General features: G+C 57.2%; 1 protein-coding gene across 11 annotated transcripts in view, besides 13 other annotated features; it reads right to left on the bottom strand.

Annotated features, from left to right (window-relative positions):
* Window positions 9,355–9,855: an enhancer, noted in NCBI's record as "H3K4me1 hESC enhancer chr9:131910837-131911337 (GRCh37/hg19 assembly coordinates)". NCBI's record gives its function as "activates a minimal SCP1, AML or CMV promoter by ChIP-STARR-seq in naive H9 embryonic stem cells {active_cell/tissue: H9 hESC(naive)}" and the evidence as "EXISTENCE:reporter gene assay evidence [ECO:0000049][PMID:30033119]".
* PTPA (protein phosphatase 2 phosphatase activator) overlaps window positions 9,467–22,526 on the bottom strand; it is a 37,997-nt gene continuing 24,937 nt past the window's right edge. For 8 of the 11 annotated variants that reach the window (XM_047423560.1, NM_021131.5, XM_011518838.3 and 5 more), the window contains 4 exons: window positions 21,818–21,942; window positions 20,721–20,821; window positions 15,861–15,968; window positions 9,467–11,026 (listed from right to left, as the gene is read on the bottom strand). In XM_047423560.1, coding sequence (XP_047279516.1) covers window positions 10,949–11,026; window positions 15,861–15,968; window positions 20,721–20,821; window positions 21,818–21,942 — 412 coding nt within the window. In that variant the 3' untranslated portion in view covers window positions 9,467–10,948. Of the gene's footprint in view, window positions 15,969–20,720; window positions 20,822–21,817; window positions 21,943–22,526 lie in introns of all 11 variants that reach the window. The other 3 variants (XM_047423559.1, XM_011518834.3, XM_011518836.3) reach the window with 1 other exon arrangement.
* Window positions 9,890–9,989: an enhancer, noted in NCBI's record as "active region_29108". NCBI's record gives its function as "activates an Ori minimal core promoter by ATAC-STARR-seq in GM12878 lymphoblastoid cells {active_cell/tissue: GM12878}" and the evidence as "EXISTENCE:reporter gene assay evidence [ECO:0000049][PMID:35858748]".
* Window positions 12,378–13,007: an enhancer, noted in NCBI's record as "H3K27ac-H3K4me1 hESC enhancer chr9:131907685-131908314 (GRCh37/hg19 assembly coordinates)". NCBI's record gives its function as "activates a minimal SCP1, AML or CMV promoter by ChIP-STARR-seq in naive H9 embryonic stem cells {active_cell/tissue: H9 hESC(naive)}" and the evidence as "EXISTENCE:reporter gene assay evidence [ECO:0000049][PMID:30033119]".
* Window positions 14,266–14,893: an enhancer, noted in NCBI's record as "H3K27ac-H3K4me1 hESC enhancer chr9:131905799-131906426 (GRCh37/hg19 assembly coordinates)". NCBI's record gives its function as "activates a minimal SCP1, AML or CMV promoter by ChIP-STARR-seq in naive and primed H9 embryonic stem cells {active_cell/tissue: H9 hESC(naive and primed)}" and the evidence as "EXISTENCE:reporter gene assay evidence [ECO:0000049][PMID:30033119]".
* Window positions 14,569–14,863: an enhancer, noted in NCBI's record as "tiled region #8657; HepG2 Activating non-DNase unmatched - State 14:Gen5', and K562 Activating non-DNase unmatched - State 25:Art". NCBI's record gives its function as "activates a minimal TATA promoter and a strong SV40 promoter by Sharpr-MPRA in HepG2 and K562 cells {active_cell/tissue: HepG2 | K562}" and the evidence as "EXISTENCE:reporter gene assay evidence [ECO:0000049][PMID:27701403]".
* Window positions 16,963–17,012: an enhancer, noted in NCBI's record as "active region_29107". NCBI's record gives its function as "activates an Ori minimal core promoter by ATAC-STARR-seq in GM12878 lymphoblastoid cells {active_cell/tissue: GM12878}" and the evidence as "EXISTENCE:reporter gene assay evidence [ECO:0000049][PMID:35858748]".
* Window positions 17,410–18,039: an enhancer, noted in NCBI's record as "NANOG-H3K27ac-H3K4me1 hESC enhancer chr9:131902653-131903282 (GRCh37/hg19 assembly coordinates)". NCBI's record gives its function as "activates a minimal SCP1, AML or CMV promoter by ChIP-STARR-seq in primed H9 embryonic stem cells {active_cell/tissue: H9 hESC(primed)}" and the evidence as "EXISTENCE:reporter gene assay evidence [ECO:0000049][PMID:30033119]".
* Window positions 17,470–17,519: a silencer, noted in NCBI's record as "silent region_20362". NCBI's record gives its function as "represses an Ori minimal core promoter by ATAC-STARR-seq in GM12878 lymphoblastoid cells {active_cell/tissue: GM12878}" and the evidence as "EXISTENCE:reporter gene assay evidence [ECO:0000049][PMID:35858748]".
* Window positions 18,040–18,667: an enhancer, noted in NCBI's record as "NANOG-H3K27ac-H3K4me1 hESC enhancer chr9:131902025-131902652 (GRCh37/hg19 assembly coordinates)". NCBI's record gives its function as "activates a minimal SCP1, AML or CMV promoter by ChIP-STARR-seq in primed H9 embryonic stem cells {active_cell/tissue: H9 hESC(primed)}" and the evidence as "EXISTENCE:reporter gene assay evidence [ECO:0000049][PMID:30033119]".
* Window positions 18,120–18,279: an enhancer, noted in NCBI's record as "active region_29106". NCBI's record gives its function as "activates an Ori minimal core promoter by ATAC-STARR-seq in GM12878 lymphoblastoid cells {active_cell/tissue: GM12878}" and the evidence as "EXISTENCE:reporter gene assay evidence [ECO:0000049][PMID:35858748]".
* Window positions 18,570–18,619: an enhancer, noted in NCBI's record as "active region_29105". NCBI's record gives its function as "activates an Ori minimal core promoter by ATAC-STARR-seq in GM12878 lymphoblastoid cells {active_cell/tissue: GM12878}" and the evidence as "EXISTENCE:reporter gene assay evidence [ECO:0000049][PMID:35858748]".
* Window positions 18,740–18,829: an enhancer, noted in NCBI's record as "active region_29104". NCBI's record gives its function as "activates an Ori minimal core promoter by ATAC-STARR-seq in GM12878 lymphoblastoid cells {active_cell/tissue: GM12878}" and the evidence as "EXISTENCE:reporter gene assay evidence [ECO:0000049][PMID:35858748]".
* Window positions 19,298–19,925: an enhancer, noted in NCBI's record as "H3K27ac-H3K4me1 hESC enhancer chr9:131900767-131901394 (GRCh37/hg19 assembly coordinates)". NCBI's record gives its function as "activates a minimal SCP1, AML or CMV promoter by ChIP-STARR-seq in naive H9 embryonic stem cells {active_cell/tissue: H9 hESC(naive)}" and the evidence as "EXISTENCE:reporter gene assay evidence [ECO:0000049][PMID:30033119]".

Here is a 22,526-nt window from a genome sequence, read left to right as displayed (position 1 = left end):
CGGGTGTGGTGGCGGACGCCTGTAGTCCCAGCTACTCGGGAGGCTGAGGCAGGAGAATGGTGTGAACCCGGGAGGCGAAGCTTGCAGTGAGCCGAGATCGCGCCACTGCACTCCAGCCTGGGTGACAGAGCGAGACTCTGTCTCAAAAACAAACAAAAAAAAGACATTCTGGAGGACCAGAGAGAGGGCAACATGACTGAAGTACGGGAGTGGGCGAGTGGGGCGGGGGCACAGTGGCTCATCACCTCGTGGGGCCTTCTGTGCACAGTCAGGAGCCACCCTTCAAGTAGGGATCTGATGGGAGTGACCTTCAAGCACCTCAGGGTAGAATCACCTTTAAGCACCTCAGGGTAGAGCCCAGGGACAGTGGCAGAGTGGAGTCAGGAGAGCAGAGAGGAGATGCTGCTGGCCAGCGCTCCTGGGAGAGCTGACCGTGCTCCCTGGCTGCGGGCAGATTTGGGTTACAATTTGGAGGGAGACCCAATAGGACCTGCTCATGGGTTGGATTTGAGAGGTAGAGGAAAAGAAAGGAATTCAGGATAACACCTGCACCAGGTATGGTAGCTCATACCTGTAATAATCCCAGCACTTTGAGAGGCCGAGGCACGAGGATCACTTGTGCTCAGGAGTTTGAGACCAGCCTGGGCAACATAGGGAAACCCTGTCTCTACAGAAAAAAAGTTTCTTAAATTTAGCTGGGCATAATGGTGCACACCTGTAGTCCCAGGTGTGGACCCAGGAGAGTAAACTCTCAAGCAATAGAGGGTAAACGAGGCCAAGGCTGCAGTGAGCTATGATTGTGCCACTGCACCAGCCTGGACGACAGAGCAAGACTCTGTCTCAAAAAATAAAAATAAAAAAGATAACACCTGGGCCAGGCACGGTGACTCACTCCTATAATCTCAGGACTTTGGGATGCTGAGGCAGGTGGATCACTTGAGGCCAGGAGTTGGAGACCAGCCTGGCCAACATGGTGAAACCCGGTCTCTACTAAAAATACAAAATTAGCCAGGCGTGGTGGTGCAGGCCTATAATCCTAGCTACTAGGGAGGCTGAGCCAGGAGAATCACTTGAACCTGGGAGGCAAAGTTTGCAGTGAGCTGAAATCGAGCCACTGCACTCCAGCCTGGGTGACAGAGCAAGATCCTGTCTCAAAAAATAAAAAGGATGACGCCTGGATTTGGGGCCTGATGGCTGTCCGCAGAGACAGACTGCCTTGGGGAGAACAAGGAGCCACGTGGCCATAGCCAATCTTTCCCTTGCCCAGCTCCGGGTACCCCACCATGCTGGCCTTTGTAGGACCTGGTGTCAGACAAACCTGGGCACCACCCTGAACCCACTTGGACAAGCTGGAGGCCCTGGGACGCCACTAAGATCTGAGCCCCACCACCAAAAGCCCTTGACTGGGAATGTGATGCCACCTTCTCGGCTCACTGTGGGGACTCCACGAGGTGACACATAAAGCACAATCTGCACACACCAAGAGGCACGCTACCAGCCAGAGAGTCATTGCTGTCATGCGTCTTCGTCATCTTTGTGCAAATCGGCCCTGCCTCCAAAAAGAAACTGGGCCCTTGGAAGAGGTGCCTCTCAGAGAAGCCCAGGGTCTGGGGCCAGTCCTGGAGAGATGGGTGCAGGAGCAGGAGGAAGAGGAGGAGGAGGGGGAGGGGGTAGAGTGAAGTGGAGTGGAGGAGGGCTCTCAGGCCACCACAGTGGGGACAGGCAGCACACGGCAGCCCATGCCACCCGAGCCCTCAGGTCAGGCCCCGTGGAGAGGCTGCAGGAGCACGAGCTTTGGCGGGAAAGAGACCCCAGACCCTTCTGTGAAATGAGGACATCAGCGCCCATTGTGAGGATGAGGCAAGAGAAGCTTCGAAGCACTTAGCTCAGGGCCAGACACATAGGCCGCATGCAGGAGCCACAAGCTCCAGGCTCGCTGCGGGAACCCCCAGACATCAGGGGGCAGACAGCTGCTGGGGCCTGGAGCAGCAGTGGCAACTGAGACATGGGGACCAGGAATTTGCATGGAGTAGGGCAGGAGCCACTCCTGAAGGAATGGCCAGGCCACCACAGTCCGGGCAGAAGCCAGGCCTGGGGCCAGTAGCCAGCAAGGGAACGACCGCCCCAGCTCCAGACACCCAGCACACCTCCCAGCCTTGCTGCCGGAGCCCTCATCCTGCCTTCAAGGAAGGCTCTCCACCCTGTCCACGACATTCCCACAGCTCCCCACATGCCCCGTGTCCTCCTTAAACCTCCATGAGGGACGGAACCGCATCTGCCTCCTCCATGGTCCTTGGGGTCTCCTTGGAGCCTGGCAGAGCAAGTGCTCAGTAAACGTTCGTGGGACAGATTCACAGCCATTATTGGGCTCAGTGGGTAGAAATGTCCACACTGAGCTGGGCACAGTGGCTCATGCCTGTAATCCCAGCACTTTGGGAGGCCAAGGTGGGTGGATCACCTGAGGTTAGGAGTTCGAGACCAGCCTGGCCAACATGGTGAAACCCCGTCTCTACTAAAAATACAAAATTAGCCGGGTGTGGTGGTGCACACCAGTAATCTTGGCTACTTGGGAGGCTAAAGCAGGAGAATCGCTTGAATCCAGGAGTTGGGGGTTGCAGTGAGCAGAGATGGCACCACTGCACTCCAGCCTGGATGACACAGCAAGACTCTTGTCTCAAAGAAAAAAAAAAGAAAGAAAGAAAGAAAGAAATGTCCACGCTGGAGCCTGATGGCCCAGGTTTGAAACCCACTTACCACCAAGGAATTCCCCCATGGCTCGGTTGCCACATGCCCACCTCGCAGGGTGGCCTGCGGAGATTCAATGAGACGGTGCCAGCAAAGCCCTGGGCTGTGTCCGTTCGGTGTCTGGTACATCCACCCTGTAAGGCCATGTTTACTTACCTTGTTTATACGTAAGGAAACTGAGGCTCAGAGGGGTTCAGTCATGGCTCAAGGTCACACAGAGGGAAATGCAAGAGCCACTCCAGAGCCCACGCACACCTTGGCCACCACGCTCCCCACCCCTTGCAGAGGGCAGGAGCTGGCTCTAGAGGGTGTGCGCAGTCCGTCAGCCCAGCAAGGGCCAGGCCCAATCTCACCAAGCAGAGGTGGGGAGCAGGAGCAGGCTGTTCCGTCCGCAGCCCGCCCACCTGCCTGTCCTGCCCGGGGCTGGGTCCAGTTACCTGGAGATGAGGTGCTGCACTCGGCCTGCCTTTGCAGTGTCCCTTTTGAAAAGCCCCAACTTTGTCTCATGTAAATAACAAGGGTCAAGAAATCTGTCCAGGCTCAGACTGGGAGATCTCACTACAGGCCAGCAAAGGCCCGGCCTCGGGGCCAGAACTGGGGATACAGCCAGCTGCCCTGCCAGGAGAGGAAGCCTCCCAGAGCCCCAGCCACTGTGGAGTACGTCTCATCGCCGCAGCTCTGAGCCCCATCCTCACAGGTCCGTCTACTCCTGGGTGTTGTCCCAGGTATCCCTTGATGTCACCTGCTCAGGGGAGGATGGTGGATGAAGCTGGACCCATCAGGGGCTTCGCCTCTTCACTGGGATTCAGGAAAATACTCCCAGCAGCATCACAAGCACTGAGAGAAATTGAACCGTTCGTCCCTTGGTTCTTAACCACCAAACCCCCCATCCAGGGCCCAGGCAGGAGAAAGAGCACCTCAACTTTGGGACTGAATTCTGGATCCAACTCACATGTGCTGGGGTCCTGAGAACAGAAGCTGGGTCCCAGAGGTCACCAGGAAGGCTGCAGATGCCCGCCAGGGAACTGCTGGCCACAACTCTCCCCAGTCCAAAGGCCCCCTGAGGAATCAGGATCTAGGCTGCCTCCTCTCCCTGGGTCCAGCTCACATGGACTCTCAAACACTTTTCCCCAATACCTCTCACTCCCTGAATCCCCCAGCCCCGACTGCCCACTCCCTCTCAGGGGGTCTCTGGGCCAAAGCACCTACCAAGAACTCACCTCCCCTTCCTTTATCCCAACAGATGTGAGCAAGGCCCCTCTCCTTCCTCTCCCTCCTGACTAGAAGGACAAGCCCCCTCCTCTCTGCCCAAGATGCACCATCCTCCGGCGCTTGTTAGCGGGGAGATCTTTTTATTCAGTTTCCTTTCTTTTTTTTTCTTATTACAAAAGTAGTATGTGGATATGGTAGAAAGATTTAAAAATCAAATACGAAAAACATAAAGCAAGGTTAAAACTGACCCGCCACTACTTTTTCTTTTGTGGTTCAGTAATGTTAGGGTTTTTTTTTTTTTTTTTTTTTTTTTGAGACGGAGTCTTGCTTTGTTGCCCAGACTGGAGTGCCGTAGTGTAATCTCGGCTCACCGCAACCTCCCCCTCCCGGATTCAACCGATTCTCCTGCCTCAGCCTTCCGAGTAGCTGGGATTACAGGCGTGTGCCACCACACCCGGCTGATTTTTTGTATTTTAGTAGAGACGGGGTTTCACCATGTTGGCCAGGATGGTCTCAATCTCCTGACCTCGTGATCCGCCTGCCTCAGCCTCCCAAAGTGCTGGGATTACAGGCGAGCCACCATGCCCGGCCATGTTGGCATTTTCATAACTATCTTTGGAAGCAGGAAAAGCATTAAGAATTTTCCAAAAACCCTCATATCCCCACCACCCAGAGATAAGCTCATCACTACCTGGGCCTGTGTTCATGTAGATGGACAGACAGACGGACGGATCAAGAATGCAGATTTCTGCTTTTTTACAAAAAAGCATTGTCCTTCACCTGCAGTCTTTGCAGCTGCCTTCCCCACGAATAACAGATTATCCGCATCTTTCTGGACAAATAAATGGATAATCGCGTCATCTGACAGCCCATAGGATGACTGCTCCCTCCAGCCCCCTAACAATCCCCAACTGCTGAACATATAGAGTGTTTCCCAGGTTCTGCTGGAATAAGTCCAAGAGGGAAAATCCTCCAGGAGGGACGGTGCTGCCTGTCTTGTTCACCGCAGCGCCCCAGCACTTGTCCCCAGACTGGAACAGAGAGGGCTCTGACAGTGTTTGCTGAGTGAATGAAAGCAAGCCATCCTCCCGGCTCAACCCTGACCTGGGCCTCTCTGGTCCTCTCCTCAGCTCCCTCCCTCCGCCCTCCGCCTGCAGTGGCACTCAGGTACCCCAGGGGCCCCCCATGCCCACCTGCCTCCTTCTTCCTCCCCACTGTGCCAACCTCACCCTCCTTTCTCTCCAGCCCACTGCTCCTCTGCTTGGCTCCACAGCACTCAGAACTGCCCTCTCACAGGCCCCATACCCACCTCCGGTGCTGGCTGCCTGGCACCAGGGCAACAGTGGCCACTCAGTCTCCCTGCCCATTCCACTCACCTGCCCCAGGCGGGGCACCAGCTTCCTTTCTCCACGGATTCTCCAGGGCTGACCTGCCCCCTCCTGTGTCTGTATCATGCTCTGCACGAGGGCCCCTGCCACTGTCACAGCCATTTCACAGATATGTACCGAGTGTCTGCAGGACCTTCCTAGGGCTAGCAGGAAATAGGACAGATGAGGTGTCTGGCCTCACAGGAGCAGCAAAGCTAGGTGCTGAGTGCAAGGTGGTGGGCCTTAGCCTGCCTCATGTGAATCTCCATCAGCCCCCACCAAGGAACCCCAAGTAAAGAGAAGCTGTGTCTGCAGACAGCCCCCTACCACCCCAAATTCTAACCAGCTGGCTGCCCCTCCCCAACAAAGACCCCGGTGTCCCTACGGCAGGGGTGTGGCTGAGTGCTGGGTGGGGTGGGGACACCCAGGCAAGCAGGCCCAGGAGACCAGCCCCGATCTAGGGGGCCAGGCGAGGCCTCTCAGAGGGAGCGAAGCCTCAGCTGAGCCCCAAAGAAACACCAGGGGTTGCCCAGTGGGGTAAAGGGTTCTTCGAACAGGGCCAAACTGATCAGCGGCTCCAGGAGTGTGAGGAAGAGAGGCAGCCAGGGTGGCTGGACCTTGACACAGCAAGGGTGTGGGCAAGGGCCTGAGGCTGGAGAACAAGCAGGGCACAGCAGAGGATTCTGGGAATCTCTTTGGCCCCAGATTCCCCACTCTACCAGGGGTTGGGTCCTGGCAGCCCTGCCAGCCTCCCATTCAGCCCATGCAACATGTCTACCAGAGCTCCTCAAACTCTGCACCCCTGGCTGAGCTACCTTTGCCGGAGTCCTCCTCTCAGGCATGTGCCTAGGGTCATTAAGAACCCCTCCCTCTTCCTCAGCACCAGCTCCCACCTCCACCCTCCGCTTCCCAGCCCAGGGCCTCTCTCTGTGCTGCTTGGGGCCTTCAACATCCCTTATCTGGGCCAAGGCCCCAGTCCCATCACCAGCATCCACAGTCCCATCACCAGCATCCAGCCAGCTGCCCATGAGTTTCCTAAATCCCAATCCTCATCTCTCACACACACCACAGAGGCACCAGTTACATACTTCCCCAGCTCCCCACCAACTCCCCACCGAACCACTGATTCCTGCTTCCGGGTGCCTGCTGTGTGCCAGTCTCTGCTGGGCACTGGGATACAGCAGTGGGCAAGACAGACAGTCCCTGGCCTCCTGCGGCTCATCTTCTAGCAGGGAAGACGAACCTTAAGCAATGCATTTTGTAGAGAATTAAATGCCGCTAGGCAAGTGTCAAGGCCACGTGTGGAGTGCTACGGGCATCCATGGCGGGGGTCTTGGATCCCGAGCTGGTGTTAAAGCCCTCTGCAGGCCAGCCCCGACCTGCTGTTGCAACTGTGTCCCCTGCCAGCCACCCCTCCACATCTCTGTGCACAATGGCCCCGCGAGCACGTCCTTGGTCTGCGCCCATCACCCAGGTGAGAGGATGCCCACACGCCACCTCCTCCACAGAGTATTCCAGAGCTTACCTAAAGTCCACCCGGCCGCATCACCTTCCGCCCTCCTTTGCAACTAGTTCTCCATCTCTCTGTTTCCCCAGTAAGCTGGAAGTTTCTTGAAGGCAGATTCTTACCTTTTTCTCATCTCCACATTCCTCCAATACCTCATACATATATAACACATGCTTAATGCTTGTGGGATTCAAGAAAAACATATCACCTGACTTAGGCCCAAGTCTTGGGCACACCAAACCCTCAGCTTTGCTCTCCTTCCAACCCCAACCTCTGCCCAGGATTTTCCTCCCAGGAAGGCTTCTTCCTCTCACCTCTCACGAGCATGAAGCGGCCTCTGCCCCGGCGAACCAAAAAGGAGCACAAGTGGCTGAGTTCAGCTTGTCCATCCTGGAGCTCCTGTGGCCCAGGATGCTGGGAAGTGACACCCGCCCTTCAGCTCTGCAGCCAGCCCCACACTCAGAGGGCTTCTTTCGGACATGTTGAGCCGCTGGGGTGCCAGCAGCAGGCCAACCTCCACCGAGCACAGCACAGGCTACAGGTGCACGTGCCTCCATGGCCCATCTCCCAGGGCCTGAGTGGGCTCCCATCCTGCCCAGAAGCCCACGCCCACGTCCTCGGAGCTCTCACTGCCCCTCATGCCTTACATTTCCCTGTAAAAATAAACCCAGCCCAACCCGCCGCCAAACCGGCGCAGGGTCTGCCTTCCTCCCACAGGGAGAAACGAGCATCCTGCCTCAGCCACCTGCCCCGTGAAGGCCACCGGTACCTTCTCAGGACCTCGCTCCCTTCAACCTCCCGCTCTCCTGGACCTTCCCAGCATGCAGCAGGAGGCAGCCCCTTGCCAGTCTGACCAGAGCCCACCTTCAAGGCAGTCCCTTGGCCACCACCCTGCCCACTCTCCCGTCCCCACTCCCACCACAGTGAAACTCAGAAGAGAAGCGAGTGATGTCTGGTCAGTATCCACCTCAAGCAGCAGACCATCCCTCCACATCTTCCTCCTAGGGTGGGGGCCTGTGCCATGACAAGCAGACCTCACAGGGTGCGGTCTGCGTTCTCATCCCTGCTCCCCCCTCCCCCACCCCACGAAAGCCCACCCAGGGCCAATGCTCCTTGTATTTGCAGCTTTGGGTCCCCTGCCCACACTCCACCCTCCTCTGTGCAGAAGCCGGCCCTCTCCTCTCCCTCATCTGCATGTTCCACCCATTTGGCACTACGCCTCGTCACCATGCCCGCCACCTCCATCCTCTTCAGCCCACCCCAGCGCCCTCATCCTCAGCACCTCCTCTTAGAAGCTAACAGGCAGTTCCGCGCCCCCACAGCAATTCCTCTCCCTCAGGGCCCCCCACCCCAGGAAATGGCACCAAGCCACACAAGCCAAGAATTGGGGTTCTTGGCTGCTCGGCTCCCTGTCATAACTCCCTTCCTGTTAGCGACACCAAATGCAGCCTAAATTGGACCACTTCCCACCATCCCACTCTGAACCCTCACCCAGGCCACTATCCCTGTGCCCAATCACAACTACAACCTCCCAAATGGTCCTATCTCCCCTTCTCCCCAACAAAACCTTCCAGCACCTTCCCATAGAACACTGTCCAAACTCAGCAGAGCCCGCAAGGCCCCGGCCTAAAAGTCTGGCCCCTATACCCAACCCTAGCCCTCCAGGCCCAGGCCTGAGCTCTCCACAGCGGCTCTTTCTTGTCCTCAGGGTCTCAGCTCACAGGACCTTTTAGAGCAAGTAACCCCCTGCCCTGCCCCCATCAACGCCTTCTCTAATTGACGTTATTTTCTCCATAATCCACCGGCTACCTAACACTGTCATATCTGGGTGCACTGCAGTCATGAGGAACATGCAGCCACTATTTGTGAAATGAAGGAATCCTCAAGACCAATGATAGGAACGTCATTATGCCCATTTTTCAGATCAGGAAGCTGAGGCTCAGAGAGAAGTCAACCATGAGGGCCCTCTACTTCCTGGTGAGTAAGCAGCAGCTGCTCAGTTTGAACTCGGGTGTGCCTGAGGCAGCGCAAGGTGATGAGGGGCTGAGGCTTTCCAGTCCATGCAAGGCCTCTAAGGCCAAGAGAAAGGTCAAGGACCCTTGTTCTCTGAGCAAGAGTGTCTTAAGGAAGTCTGGGGCACAGCAGCCCCAGAGACCCTCAACTCCAGCCCAGCAGGGACAGGAGGGGCAGAGGAGGGAGAATAGAGGGCCACCCCCTCACAAACCACAGGTGCATGTTCCACTGTCAAAGCCCATCCAAAGGCTCCCTGGCCAGCTTGGGGCTAAGTTGGGAGTCCAGAGGGGCCCCCTTCACCAAGCACAGCTGCAGTGACCACCCGGGATATGCTATGTGCCAGGCCCTGAGCTGAGGACTTCACATCTGCTGTCCACTGCTGGCAGTCACCCTGTGACTGTCCCCATTTTGTGAATTGAGGAAGCTGGGGCTCAGGGGCTTCAGTAACTTACAACCTTGCAGCTGGGACTGCAGACAGCTAGGATTTAAACCCAGGAAAGGCTCAACCCAAATTGAAACAGCTCGTCTCAGACACTGTGGCCTGAGAGAAGGGGACCTGATGGAGGTCAGTCATGCAGAAATGGGTTAAACATGTGACATGAAAAGACATACCTCACACAAGTGACAGGTGCAAAACAGAGGCTTTAATCTGAACAGCAATGAGGGTGCAAGGGGCTGGGAGCCCATAGGGGGATGGGGGAGCCAGGAAGGGCTGTCTGGCCCTGGGAGAGAGGTGGACGCTGGGCCTCTTCTGAGAAACTGTCACTGACCTTTGGGACTCCTGACCCAGCCTCTGCCCAGACCATCACCGGATCCCAGGCTGAGCCCCTGTGCTGTGCTTCTCAGTGCTCCCCCTTCCTGAAGGGTGTGTGGACCCAGACACAGGAGGGGGCAGTGGAGAAGGGCAGGCCTGGGGGACGAGCCTGTAAGAGCCAGGCCCAGGAACAGCCCTAGGAGAAACCTCGGCGGTGGCCCTCAATGGGCCTGCCCAGCCCCCACTGGGCCCATTCTGAGTGCCAAAGCCTGGGCTTGGGAGGCTGTCTCTTACCTCACCCTATAAAAGCAATGGACAGTTCAGGGAGGTGGGAGGACAAGGTGTGGGACTGCCACCTTCTGGGCCCACCCATCACCCAGGGGAGCAGAGAAGCAGGGCCCAGGGGCCCAGGGTGAGGCTCACAGCAGCGCAAAGGTAGCAGAAGTGGCCGGGCCTAAGACTGCCAAGAGGAATCCAGGCTCTCCAGATACAATGGGCCCCAAGCCCCTCCCTGAGTTTCTGCCATCCCCTCCCTGCCAGGGAAAGTTCTGGAAAGACATGCCTCACCCCATCATCTGGGCCCTCCCAGGAGCCCAGCACCTACCCAAAGGGCAGCTTCCATTGGCTAGGTTACCCTTAGGGAGCGGGAGAGATGTGGCTACAGTCAGGAAACCCAGCAGAGCCAAGGGCTAGAGAACTGAAGAGCCAGGGGGAGGCTTGGACACAGGGGGCCTCAGGCCCAGGGGGCAGGGTGAAAAGGAGCCTGGGAGGGGCACCAGCCAGGACAGCTAAGGCCTCTCCACCACCCGACCCCACCCACCCCACCCCAGCCCACAGCTGGCGGCCAGCCTCAGCTTCCAGCCCTACCATAGATGGCCACCCCGGCATGGCCTGGGAAACTGACCCGCCCCTGCAAGGAGCAGCTCCAACCCTTAGAAAGGCATCGACTCCAGGAAGGGAAAAGCAATGGAAGCAGCAGGTATCTCTCCTCCCTTCCCTGCGGTGCTGCAGAACAGCCCCTGCTCTCAAAACCAGACTGGACGGGAGTGAAGGGAGAAGAGGCCAGAAACAGGAGAGAGTGGCCGAGTGACCAGGCCCCAGACCCTCTCTTCTGGCCAGTCTAGCACACGGGAACTCAGAAAACTGGCTACACTTTGGTCACTTCTCCCAACTTGGGCCCTGAAGCCTTATGCTCTGAGCCCCCTCAAGCCCATCTCGCCACCCCACCCCAGTAAACAGCCTCTCATCAAACGGGACGAACAGAGGGAGGGGATGGGGAGGGGCCACTGCTGGGGTGGGGAAGGCAGGCACAGGAACTGTGGCCTGGGTGGCTCTTCGGCTTGGCCCCTCCTAGCCCGACGTGACAGGATGGATGGGCAGCAGGCTCCCGAACTTGAAGTGCTGGATCACAGGGAACTTCTCCAGGCACTGTGAGGAAGGAGCAGGTGAGCAGAGTGGTGAGGGCCACACCACACCCCTGCCAGGACCCCAACAACCGCAGCAGCTCCCAGGTGTCCATCCCGGGCCCAGGAAGTAGCCCCGCCAGGGGATCCCCCAGGCCTTCCTCCCCCAGTTCCTCACTCCTTCTATCCAAAGACACCCACTCCACAACGAGACCCACGAGAGAGAGAAAGAGAAAAGGCAGCCCAAACCTACAAGGTAGAAACCGAGAAGAGAGGCAGCCAGGTGCCATCACTTGGCCCAGAGAGGGAAGTTGGGAACCTGAGGTGGAAAGAACCCTCCTGATCACTGGGGACCCCCAGCCCAGGTCCCAGTTCTAGAGAAGAGACGTGGGGACATTTGAACGTAAGCCTAAGAGGCTGAGGCCGGGTCCCAAAGCCTGTTTTCTCCAGCTTTCAGTTCTCTGGACTGAAAAAGGCATCTTGGCACTTCAGAGCGAGACAATAAGAACCAGCTGACACTGAGTTCCCCCCACCCCTGGGCAATTCCCAGCAGCCTGTGTGGGGGGCAGGGGAAAAAGAGCGCTGAACAGGGGAATGGCTGAGCACGGGGGAGGCCCGACTCCCTGAGCCCAGCCCAGCCCGGGCTCCTAGCAGAGGAGCAGAGCTGGAGAGCAAGTGACAGGGCCTATCACAGAAGCTGGCCTGGCCCACAGGCAGCCAACCCCAGCTTCCAGCTGCAGCTCCCGCAACAGCACCCCCATGCCTGCCACACCTGGACACTAGCTCTCACAGGAGCCGTTCTGGGCATGCGAGGGTTGGATCTGCCAAGACTGACCAGGGCCTCCTCCCACACCTTTGGCCACAGAAAACAGAGTATGTTAGGCACCTCCTGGCTGGGGTGGAACAAGACTTATGGCCTCAGAGAGAGTAAGAGCCTCACTCTGTGGCTGTGATCTTAACCTCCAACTAACTTAGAGACAAACGGGTGCTATGACTGGCCCAGGTTCCCTCTCCTCAAAAATCAGCTGTGGAACCTAAGAGGGAGAAGCACCAGGGTGACGAGTGGGCCAAAGAGGCGCCAGGAGGGGAGGGAAAGAAGGATGGAAACCAAGCTCATGGTGGGGTGGGGAGCAGAGCCCTGGCCACAGCCAGGATCCTGGGCCTGAGACACAGAATGCGGGAGCAGGGAGCGGGAGGTGGTCCCTGGGCGGGAGGGGGAGCAGCCGCAGATCCAGGCCAGAGGCCAAGGCAGCTGCCATGGTGCTTATGTCATCCCAGAAGTGGTCATAAGAGCCCCCCCACCCCCCAAGGGCCCTGGAATTCCAGAAGGGGTCAAAGGTCAACCTCCCTCTAGCTCCCATAGAAGAAGTTGCAAGGCGAGAAGGGGTGGAGGCAGGGGTTCTTCCCATTCTGCCCACAGGACCCCAGAGCCAGCCCCCTCAGAGCCACAGGAGCTGGGCCAAGGAAGCCTAAGGCTCCAGGGCAGGAGGAGCCTCCAGCCCAGCCTTTCTCCCAGCAAGGCCCTCCCATGTACCTGGGCGGAGCAGCGGCTTCAGACTGCCCCCTGACCTTCCAGCCAGAGGTGATTCAAGCTGGGGAAGGGACTCCCTGGGTCCTGACAAGGTCCTTCTGAAGGCAGCACCCACACAGCCATGGCCCAGAGGAAAGACAGACCCTCCCCCCCGCCGCCCCGCAACCACACAAGGCCCCTGAGAGCACTTGGTTCTTCGGTCAGAAAGGCTGGGACAGAGCAGAGTTAGACCCAAATCCTGAGGCCACCTACTGCCAGGCTGGTCAGACTTCTGTGGCAGCCCAGGAGGCTGACTCCCCTCAATCAACCAGTTCTGACTGGAGACCCAGCCTTCCTACCCACCCCTGGACTGCAAGACTGGCAGGCCTTGGAGGGCCTCCTTAGGGGCTAAGAACTGGCCTGAGAAAACAAGCCCTCTCCTTGGACCTCTGTGTAGGCAACATGCCAGCCCATGGGCCCTTCGGGACCAAGGACTAAGGGCTAGTTGCTAGTAAGTTGTCAATGAGTGTTGAACACTGCAAAGACTTGGTGATCTTTTTTTTTTTTTTTCCTGAGATGGAGTCTCGCTGTTGCCCAGGCTGGAGTGCAGTGGCATGATCTCGGCTCACTGCAACCTCCACCTCCCAAATTCAAGTGACTGTCCTGCCTCAGCCTCCTGAGTAGCTGGAATTACAGGTGCGCACCACGATGCCAGGCTAATTTTTGTATTTTTAGTAGACACAGTGTTTCACCGTGTTGGCCAGGCTGGTCATGAACTCCTGACCTCAGGTGATCTACCTGCCTTGGCCTCCCAAAGTGCTGGGATTATAGGCATGAGCCACCGCACCCAACCAGTGATTTTTTTCTTTGAGACGGAGTCTCACACTGTTGCCCAGGCTGGAGTGCAGTGGTGTGATCTCAATTCACTGCAACCTCCGCCTACCAGGTTCAAGCGATTCTCCCGTCTCAGCCTCCCAAGTAGCTGGGACCACAGGCATGAGCCACCACACCCAGCTAATTTTTATATTTTTAGTAGAGACGGGGTTTCCTCATGTTGCCCAGGTTGGTCTCGAACTCCTGGCCTCAAGTGATCCACCCACCTCAGCCTCCCAAATTGCTGGGATTACAGGCAAAGACTTGGTGATCTTTTTTTTTTTTTTTTTTTGAGAGAGTCTCGCTCTGTCGCCCAGGCTGGAGTGCAGTGGCACCATCTCAGCTCACTGCAAGCTCCACCGCCCGGACTCACGCCATTCTCCTGCCTCTGCCTCCCGAGTAGCTGGGACTACAGGCACCCGCCACCACGCCCGGCTAATTTTTTTATATTTTTAGTAGAGACGGGGTTTCACTGTGTTAGCCAGGATGGTCTCGATCTCCTGACCTCGTGATCCGCCCACCTCGGCCTCCCAAAGTGCTGGGATTACAGGCGTGAGCCACCACGCCCGGCCTGACTTGGTGATCTTAAAGTCAGGGAGTTCCAGCGTCACCCTATACAGGAGCCTGTCCCCTTCCCCACACAGCGCCGGCCTCAACTAGGGCTAGAATCTCCCTTTTTCAGATTACTAGAGAGCTCCCCCATCCTGAGTTGGTCATTTTCAGTGTCCTCTTTGTGTTTGCCACCCTGTGCTCAGCCCCCACGGAGACCCCGACAGCCTGTGCAGAGTGGACAGTCCCTGTGTTCCTGCCACACCATCACCATTTTCAATCCGAATATGCTCCTCCCTCATCCTCTGGCAGCCTGGAGTTCTTTTGTCTCTGGAAGGGCAGGTGAGAGAAGGGGACAGGGTCTCTTGCCCTATCCTTTGGGCCTTAGAGCCTGAGTCGAGAGAAGTTTAGAGTCACTTGAATTAAGAGGCTTGTAGAGAAGACAGTACTTCAGGTACCAAGCAGAGAAGGCAGCCAGAGTCCTCTCTTTGGCACACAAGGGTTGGGGTTGGGAGGTGGCTGGTGGGCGATGTGCACCTCTCACATGCTCAGACACCCTGGAGGCGGGGCACAGCAGAGTGAGAGTTCCCCAGCAGCCCCCACTGTGGGACAGGCGGGGGTGGGGTCAGGAACATCAGGACACCAGAGGGCAGTGACCCAGGGCAGAGTCGGAGTGGAGAGCCGGGGGTGGCCAGCTGCAGCCGGAAGGAACCTAGGCAGCTCCAGCCAACGGGCTCTCAGGCCTCTCAGATTAGAGAGGTATGTGGGCTGGAACCTAAACACAGGATGTGAGGTCCAGAGGAAGGGGACCAAAGGGGGAGGGGGCGGAAGGGAGTGAGGGCCCGGTCTGTTCAGTTCAAGCCTCATTAACCCCTTCAGGACCAAGTGCAGGGAGCCAAGCCAACTGGAAGCATCTGTGCTCCCCCACCCCGCTGGCCTCTGGCACCCTTCCCCGTTGTCCCGCCTCTGCTGATGGGATCCAGGAAGCTCTGGGTCCAATGAAGACCTGGAGCAGCCCCTTCCCAGAAGAGAAGGCCGGCCAGGAGTCAAGAGATGGTGCCCACAGTACAGTGTCTGAGGCCATGAACTAGTCACAAGGGCCAGCCTGAGAACAGAAAGAAGGGACTTTAAGGACCCATCACTCCAGGTGTGGAACTTCACATCCAGCCCTTCCCTGGCCAAGGTCAAGCAGTTCTAGAATTAGTCTTCCCAGGAAGTGGGAGGAGCTAGCAGAAGGGACAGAGTAGAAATAAAATGTCTCCTCCCCACTTGGAAGAGAGAAAAGGCCACCTCCTTGGCTGGGAGAACAGTGCCAAGAGGGCAGGAGACACCCTCGGCTGCCTGCCAGCAGGGGGAGCTCCAGGAAGCCTCAGCTCTCCTCTCCTCAGCATCTGATTTGAGAGCAGGGAAAACCATTTGCATCAAAATCCCTGAAGCGGTCCATAAAAATGCCAATTCTCGGCCTACCCTCAGACCTCCCACCACTCAGTGATCATACACACTAACATTTGAAGGCAGCACTTTGGAGATGCCTCCAAAGGGTAAGACCCTTCCCAGGTATGCCATGGGAGAGCCAGACTCAGACTGCCCGAGCTTTGAGGAGCCTTTGGCCACTTGATAAAGGAGAAGGGAGGCCCCCATCGCCCCCACTCCCCATGCAGCAGGTCCTTGCCTCAGCCTCCAAGCTCATCAGGACAGAGCTGGACTGCAGCTTTTCGGGGCTGGGGTGGCTGGTGCTTCTCTGACTGCCCATGCCCCAGATGGGAGATTCCGAGGCCCCAAGTGTCAGAGGGGCTGGCCTAAGATTCAGAGCAAAACAGTGGGGTAGGAGGAAGCAGGAGCCCCAGGTTCCACATCTTTTGCTTTGTCCCCAGCCCAGGACCAAGTGCGGCAGCAGGGACGGGCACACTGGCCAGCCCCCACTCACCTCGGCCTTATACATGCGGATGAGACCCTGGTTCACTTTGGACCAGGAAGGGACGGCGCTGATGTTCCACAGCTGGTTGGAGTGCTCTGCAAATGGGCCAGTCTTCATCTGAAAAAGAGAAGCCACAAGCTGAAGAGACAGGTTCTGGCTGGGAGCTCATCCCTCCTCCCCTGCAGCAAAGTCACACCCATGCATGCACACACACACACACACAAACGCACACGCACACAATGCACGCGCAGACACTTGGGGACCAAGCTATAGCATCTGCCTGAGGGGCAAACATACAAACAGGCACATGCAAGTGCCAGAGACAAGGTTCCCCTTTGGCCCTCAAGGCCTGCTAGGAAAATATAACATTCCTTGCCCACCTACCCGCAGTCACCCCTCTTTCTCCCACAGCCAAAAAAAGGGGGCCTGATTCCTATCGCCCACCAAATCCAGCAGCCTCAGGAAGATAAGATCTCCACCTGAGCTTCTGGTGTCGTTCCCACCGACTCCCCAGGAGCCTCAGAGCGCCTCTCCAGCACAGGGATTCACTTGGGTTCAGATAAATAGCAGCAGCAGCTAGGCCCCACCCCTCCAGGCCCACCCCCTCTCCCCCAGGCCCCCCCACAGGACACGTGGTCTGCACCTGCCACCAGCAGAGCTAGAAGAGATGAGGAAAGGGTCAATTTGCAAGAGGACCAAGGTGGGTATGACCAAACCCAGGTATCCGACAGCCCTCTGCCTGCCATGCAGGCAGGGAAGAGAGGGCCGATGGGAGGCAGGGGTGCCTGAAGCAGCAGCCAGCCTGGCCTGGCCAGGAGGTGGGGAAGGGGTGGCCGCCACAGCAGCTGAAAGAGGCAGGCACAAGGACGGCTCCATTCCTGGTCCTCCCTCTTGCCAAAGAGTCTGACCCTCCAGGACGGAAGAGAAAGATTCTGCAGCCAGCATGAAGTTCCCATGACGTCAGAAACCACAGAGGGACGCCTGTGTGCCTGAGCATATCCCCCTGACACCGCAAGTCCAGCACATTTGTATTTATTAACCAAGCAGTTCATAATTCCCCTCGACACAGCCCCCCAGCTCATAGGCAGCATTTACAGGGGAACAGGGCTCTGTACCCCAGACCCATGCTGCAGAAGGAAGACTCTGCAAAGAGGCTGAATCTGGCAAAGAAACAGAGACTTGGAAGGTTCTAGAAACATGCGGGTGTCAGGGGAGACTGGGTTATTTTTTGAAGGAGAAAAGATAAGCCAGAAACGCTCTCCAAAAAGGGGCATCAGTTCACCACAAGAGCCCTCAGGAGCCCCCACTCTTGAGCCATGGGCTGCCACCTGGTGACCCACTCCTGGCAGGCCTCTTACTTCTCTAGTAAGGGCAACTGTGACAAAACTTTTAAGATTTAAGTCAAAAAAAACCTGTCATTTTATCCCCCTCATTTCCCTCCCCTGGCCCAGGTTCCCAAAAAGCCCATCCAAACACCCATGTTCAGGAGCAAGGACAACAGGCTCCTCCCTCCCCTCCTCTTCTCTCCCAGGCTCCACCACAGCCAGGCAAGAGCCCGAGGCACCCAACAGAGACAAAGCCCACTCTGGTCCCTGGGGGCCTTGTCTTGGACCACTCGCTTCACTCAGAATCACCCCAGGCTCTCTCCTCCAGGAGGGCAGCCAGGCACCCCGAGCCTACAGGGGCCTCACCTCTGGGGAGCTTTGTTTCAACTGCCCTGCTCAACCACACTCCACCCCCAGCCCCTCCCCCACCTCCCCACCCTACCCCACCCCTTCCCCAGTCTGCAGGCTCCAGCCCTGTGCACACTTCCAGGCCCAGGAAAGCTCAGGGAGCATGGAGCTGTGTAACCAGTTTCACTCTCTGGACAGGGCCCTCTGAGCAAGCAACCAGGAGGCACCCTGTCGGCTTTGTCGGCTTTGTCTGCCAGGGGCCTGCCCGGCAAGGGCTCCGAGGCAAAGGCAGGCAGATGGGCACTGGAAGACAAGAGCCCCTGCCTCCTGGCCAGCCTCGCCTACCAGGGCCAAAGAACAGATCCTCAAAAGGCCTCTGGCAGAGCCAGGGCTAGGCCCATGTCCTGGAGCTCCAGTGGCCCTGGGCCCCTACACACAGAAAGGCCAGAGAGGTAGTTTCTTTGGAGGGGCTGCAGGCTGCCCCCAGGCCTTCAGTACCCCAGGGTCTCCCTAAGTCCTTCAGGGAGGTTACAGTCCTTTGCCTGTAACTCTGGCAAAGGAAAACAGACGAGTGGGAGAAAAAGGAATCGGGGCTGGAAGACAAAGAAAAAATTAGCTCATTCTAGCCACAAAGGGAGAAGAGAAAGAACCAGAATGAGCGAGCGAGCTGCAGCCCGCAGTGACCCCAGGGGAATCGTGTGAGTCAGAGCAGCCATATTGAGCAGGAAATTACTCACAGACGCTGCGTTCCTGCCTCTCCACTCCCCAGAGAATCGGCCTTTTGTAAATGGCTCCTCTGTCAGTAACTGGGGGGATGGGCGGGGGTGGGGAGGCTCTGCACAGCGCCTTCCTGTCAGCTCCTTCCCTTCCAGCTGAAATCTGATCCCTCCCTTCCCAAAACTCCAAATTTAGAAGCCAGATTGAAACTGAAATTCTTTTCCTGCCTGCCCTGGGCTCTTAAAGGCGCCAGGGCTGCATTTACAGAGGCTGTAGAGGCCCTGCAAGGTGGGGTCCCTCACCTAGGATGCCCACGGGTATCAGGGCAGTCTTGGCATGAGACCCTGAAAGGGCTGCCTGATTCCACTCCCAAGTTCTCGGTGTTTTAGTTAATCTCCCAGTTAAAAGAGCACCATGGTGAATCCAGGGTCTCCAGAGGAAACACTGCCTCCTTCCCAAGCAAGGCGTACAGAACTCCATGCAAGCCTCCAGGTCCCCAGTGAGCTAGGCCAGGCCACTCACCAACTAGGGACTGCAAAATGCTGCTCACTGCTCCGAGGTGGAAGAGGGTGGGCGCTCTGGAGAACCAACACAACGTGTGCTGCAACCAGCGGCCACGTGGCAAGATGGGCCCTTGCTGCAGCCACCCCGGCTCCTGGGCACACTCCTCCTAGGGTCTACTGTTGAACACCATGCCCAAGAGCCTAGACCCAAAGTGAAAACCCGGACCTGTGGAGAAGGTGCGGAACAGCCAACAACTCTAGGCACGCCCTCCCCTCCCTGTTCCTTCTGCTGCCTCAAATAAATGTCACCAAACCCTCTCCAAGTTCAGTGTGCCTCTCCTGCCACCTAGTGGCTACTTTGAGATTTCCTCTACTGGAGGAACTGGGTCCCAAACTTTGGAAAAGCTTTTGGGGTGTTTATACCAACAAAATCAACCAACCAACTAAAGACAAAATTTTACCATGGAATCAATTCCCAAAATCCTGGAGGCCAGGCCTGGCATGCCTCCTAGTTAGAATACCGACAGGGACCCAGAGGCCTGGCCAGCCGCCGGGGGAGCCCAAACAGCTCAGCCTTTCAGCCACACCCAAGAACTCAGTGTGGCATCTGCACCCTTCTTCCCACCCTGCTCCTCCAGCTTATCCTGAGGTCCCCCAGGGCTCCGCAGACCCCCACATTCCACTCCACAGAGAGCAGCGCGTGACTGGCTTTCAAGGCAGTGAGCCAGGCTGCCCCCAAGTCCTCCCGACCTTGGGCCTGCCACACTGCTGAGGGCAGCAGATCTCCGGGAATGAAGTGGTGGCCGCCCAGCCGTCAGTCCCGGCTCCATTTGCTGACTTGGAAAAAATGTGTCATTCCCCTCTGGCCTCTGGAGTTTGGCAGAAGCCTGAGCCGAATGTTGACCAGGAAGAGCCTGGAGCCAAGGCTGCTGGTTATAACCCAGCTTTCTCCACCTCGTCGGGGGCTCAGAATACACAGCCCGGACGGAGAGCAGCCCCCGTGGCCAGCATCCACAGGCCTGCTAGGAACCTCACTGAGGCAGCAGACATCCGTGCTGGTGTCGGGAAAGGGACTGAGGAGGGATAGAACTCTCAAACCCTCTCCAGATAGCTGAGCGAGGGCGCCCTTTGGAAACTGGGGCATGGGGATGGCAGAGAGGATGAGAAGTCCTAACACCTCCCTCAAGAGAGGTCCAGAGAGCAGAGGGTCCCCAGCTTTCCTGTGCAGTCGCCTGGCACGTGTGTTTAGATGCAGGTTCCTGGCTCTTGTCCCCTAAGATTCTGATGCAATAAGCTGGGATGGAGGGCCCAGGAATGTGCGTTTTAACAAACACACTAGGAGATCTCGCACAAGTGGTCCAGGGCCCACTGCAAGGAATCCTGCCTTGGTGAGACAATAACTTCCAGTTCCAGAACCCAGCCGTGGGGCTGGCTATCCAGTGACTGCCACCACAGGCCAGGCCTGCGCACTCCCACTCCAGCACTTTGCTCGGGCCCACGTCCTCAGGCACTGACAGAGACGTGTCCCTTCGACAGAAAAGCTGTCTGCACCAGAAGTTCGCTCCATCTCCTCTGGTGGTTTCATTTTACACATCCACAGCACATGGTTCTACAGACCCTTGTGGGGCCCCACCGAAAGATGCTGACCCTCCCCCACAAACCTCCGCCCGCCCCGACCCTTTCAGACCTGCTGCAGCAGTCACCAAGGCCAGTTAGTGACCAAGTCTTAGACCCTCATCTCAAGACTCCTGTGGTGTTCAGGAGAAACTGAAGGAGAACTGGGCGGAGGACCTGACAGTCAGCAGCGGCTCTTTCGGAAGAGGCCCAGTGGTGCTTCCTTTTCAATAACCCGCTCCGGCCGGCCCTGCCATTTTGGGCAGCAGCTCTGGCTCTTCTGATCCACTGTAAGGCCACCAGCCTTGGTTCATCTGAGCCTGGAGGCAGCCATGGGCTTCTCTCTCACCCCTCCTCCTCACCTCGGTAATAAACAGGATACACTCCAGGAACATGTAGTCCTTGTGGTTCTCATTCACGGCCTTCTCATCCACAAAGTGTCTGGGCTCCAGGTATGGGTGGTCTGGGAAAAGGAATGGGCCCCAGCATTCAGAACCAGGCCCCACGACTACCTGGGCAACCCGGCCCAGCAGTCACACCCCCCCAGGGGCCTCAGTCCTGCCCGTGGTGCCCTCAACACCTCACCTTGAAGGAGCAATAAGTAACTCTGGGTTTGTGTATTCTAATGTGCTAAGCTCTAGCTGCATGGCGTTGGACGCATGACTTCAGCCTGCCAAGGTTCAGTTTCCTCACCTGGACACTGGGGACAAGAAGAGCACCTCCTCCTAGGGGCCATGACAACAATTACCACACCTACAGCACTCAGTATGGTGCCTGGTGCAGGTGCCAGTCAGCAGAGCCGGCTTCATGCTGGCAGACCCTTCGCAGTGTCACTGAGAAGATTCGGGGAGGCAATGCACCCGAGGCCACAACTAATGGTCATTTATGAATATCAGTCTGTAGGCAGTTCATTCTTCATCAAAATAGAGATGATCACCTACGCCCATCCTGAAAACTAGCTTCAAGAGTTGGGGAGTCACCAGAGCAGGCCTCTCTGAGCCCCACAGGAAGCAGGCCCACCACCCAGCACTTGGCGGCTGCTCCCTAACGGGCCCCTTTGCACACAGCTCGATAATAACAGTGGATGACACTGGTCACCAAATCAAAAGGGTCCCTCATTTTCAACATAAAACCCCACAGCTGCTGCCAGGAGCTGGGGCGCATTTCACACCAGTCCATTATGCACCAGGCGTGCGCCCTTGCTCCAGCCCATGTCACTTCCCATTATCTTGGTGGCGCTTGGCCTCCGCCTCCTCCAGCCCACCACACGGGCTCTCACAGCAGAAGGTCGACAGTAAACAGCCTCCCTCAATAGCTGGTCTAATGCCCTGCTTTCCAAGCTGTCACTGTCTGCCCTGGGCAGGAAGAAGGGAAGGAGGGAGCGCAGGAGGGGCAGGGGAGGGCCACAGAACGCAGCCTTGGTTGGGGGTGGAGGGATAGGCACCTCCCGCTCTAGTACCTATCAGCTGCGAACTGCCCCAGATGAAGGGCAGAAACTGGAAGTCATCCAGACCCCACACTCCCTGGCTGCCGGCTGGCTCCATCCTGTATGTTTTCTGGAGTTTCCGCATAACCTCAAGGTACCTGCACAGGAGGACAGGGAAAGGGAAGGTAGCAAAAAGTAAAAAGACAGTCTCACCCTTTCGGCCACTGGGAGCACAAGGAGACCCCAAAATAACCACTGAAGAGTGTTAACTGGTCTCAATTTCAATAATGTAGCTTTATTTCCCCCAACAAACACTCAGCCATCTTTTGGCTCAGGAAAGGCATAAAAATCACTGATTAAGGGCCCGGGCACGGTGGCTCACGCCTGTAATCCCAGCACTTTGGGAGGCCGAGGCAGGCGGATCACAAGGTCAGGAGATCGAGACCATCCTGGCCAACACGGTGAAACCCCGTCTCTACTAAAAATCCAAAAAATCAGCCAGGTGTGGTGGTGGGCGCCTGTGGTCCCAGCTACTCTGGAGGCTGAGGCAGGAGAATGGCATGAACCCAGGAGGCAGAGCTTGCAGTGAGCCGAGATCTCTCCACTGCACTCCAGCCTGGGCGACAGAGCAAGACCCTGTCTCAAAAAAAATAAACAAATAAATAAATAAAAAATCACTGATTAGGAAGGTGGGTTTTGGTGCCATCAACTCCTGACAACTTGTAAAACCCTGGGCAGGGCC

This window comes from Homo sapiens, chromosome 9, assembly GCF_000001405.40.
Source record: "Homo sapiens chromosome 9, GRCh38.p14 Primary Assembly".
Taxonomy (NCBI): domain Eukaryota; kingdom Metazoa; phylum Chordata; class Mammalia; order Primates; family Hominidae; genus Homo; species Homo sapiens.
The sequence above is the reverse complement of the archived record's forward strand: the minus strand, read 5'-3'. Positions and strand labels throughout refer to the sequence as shown.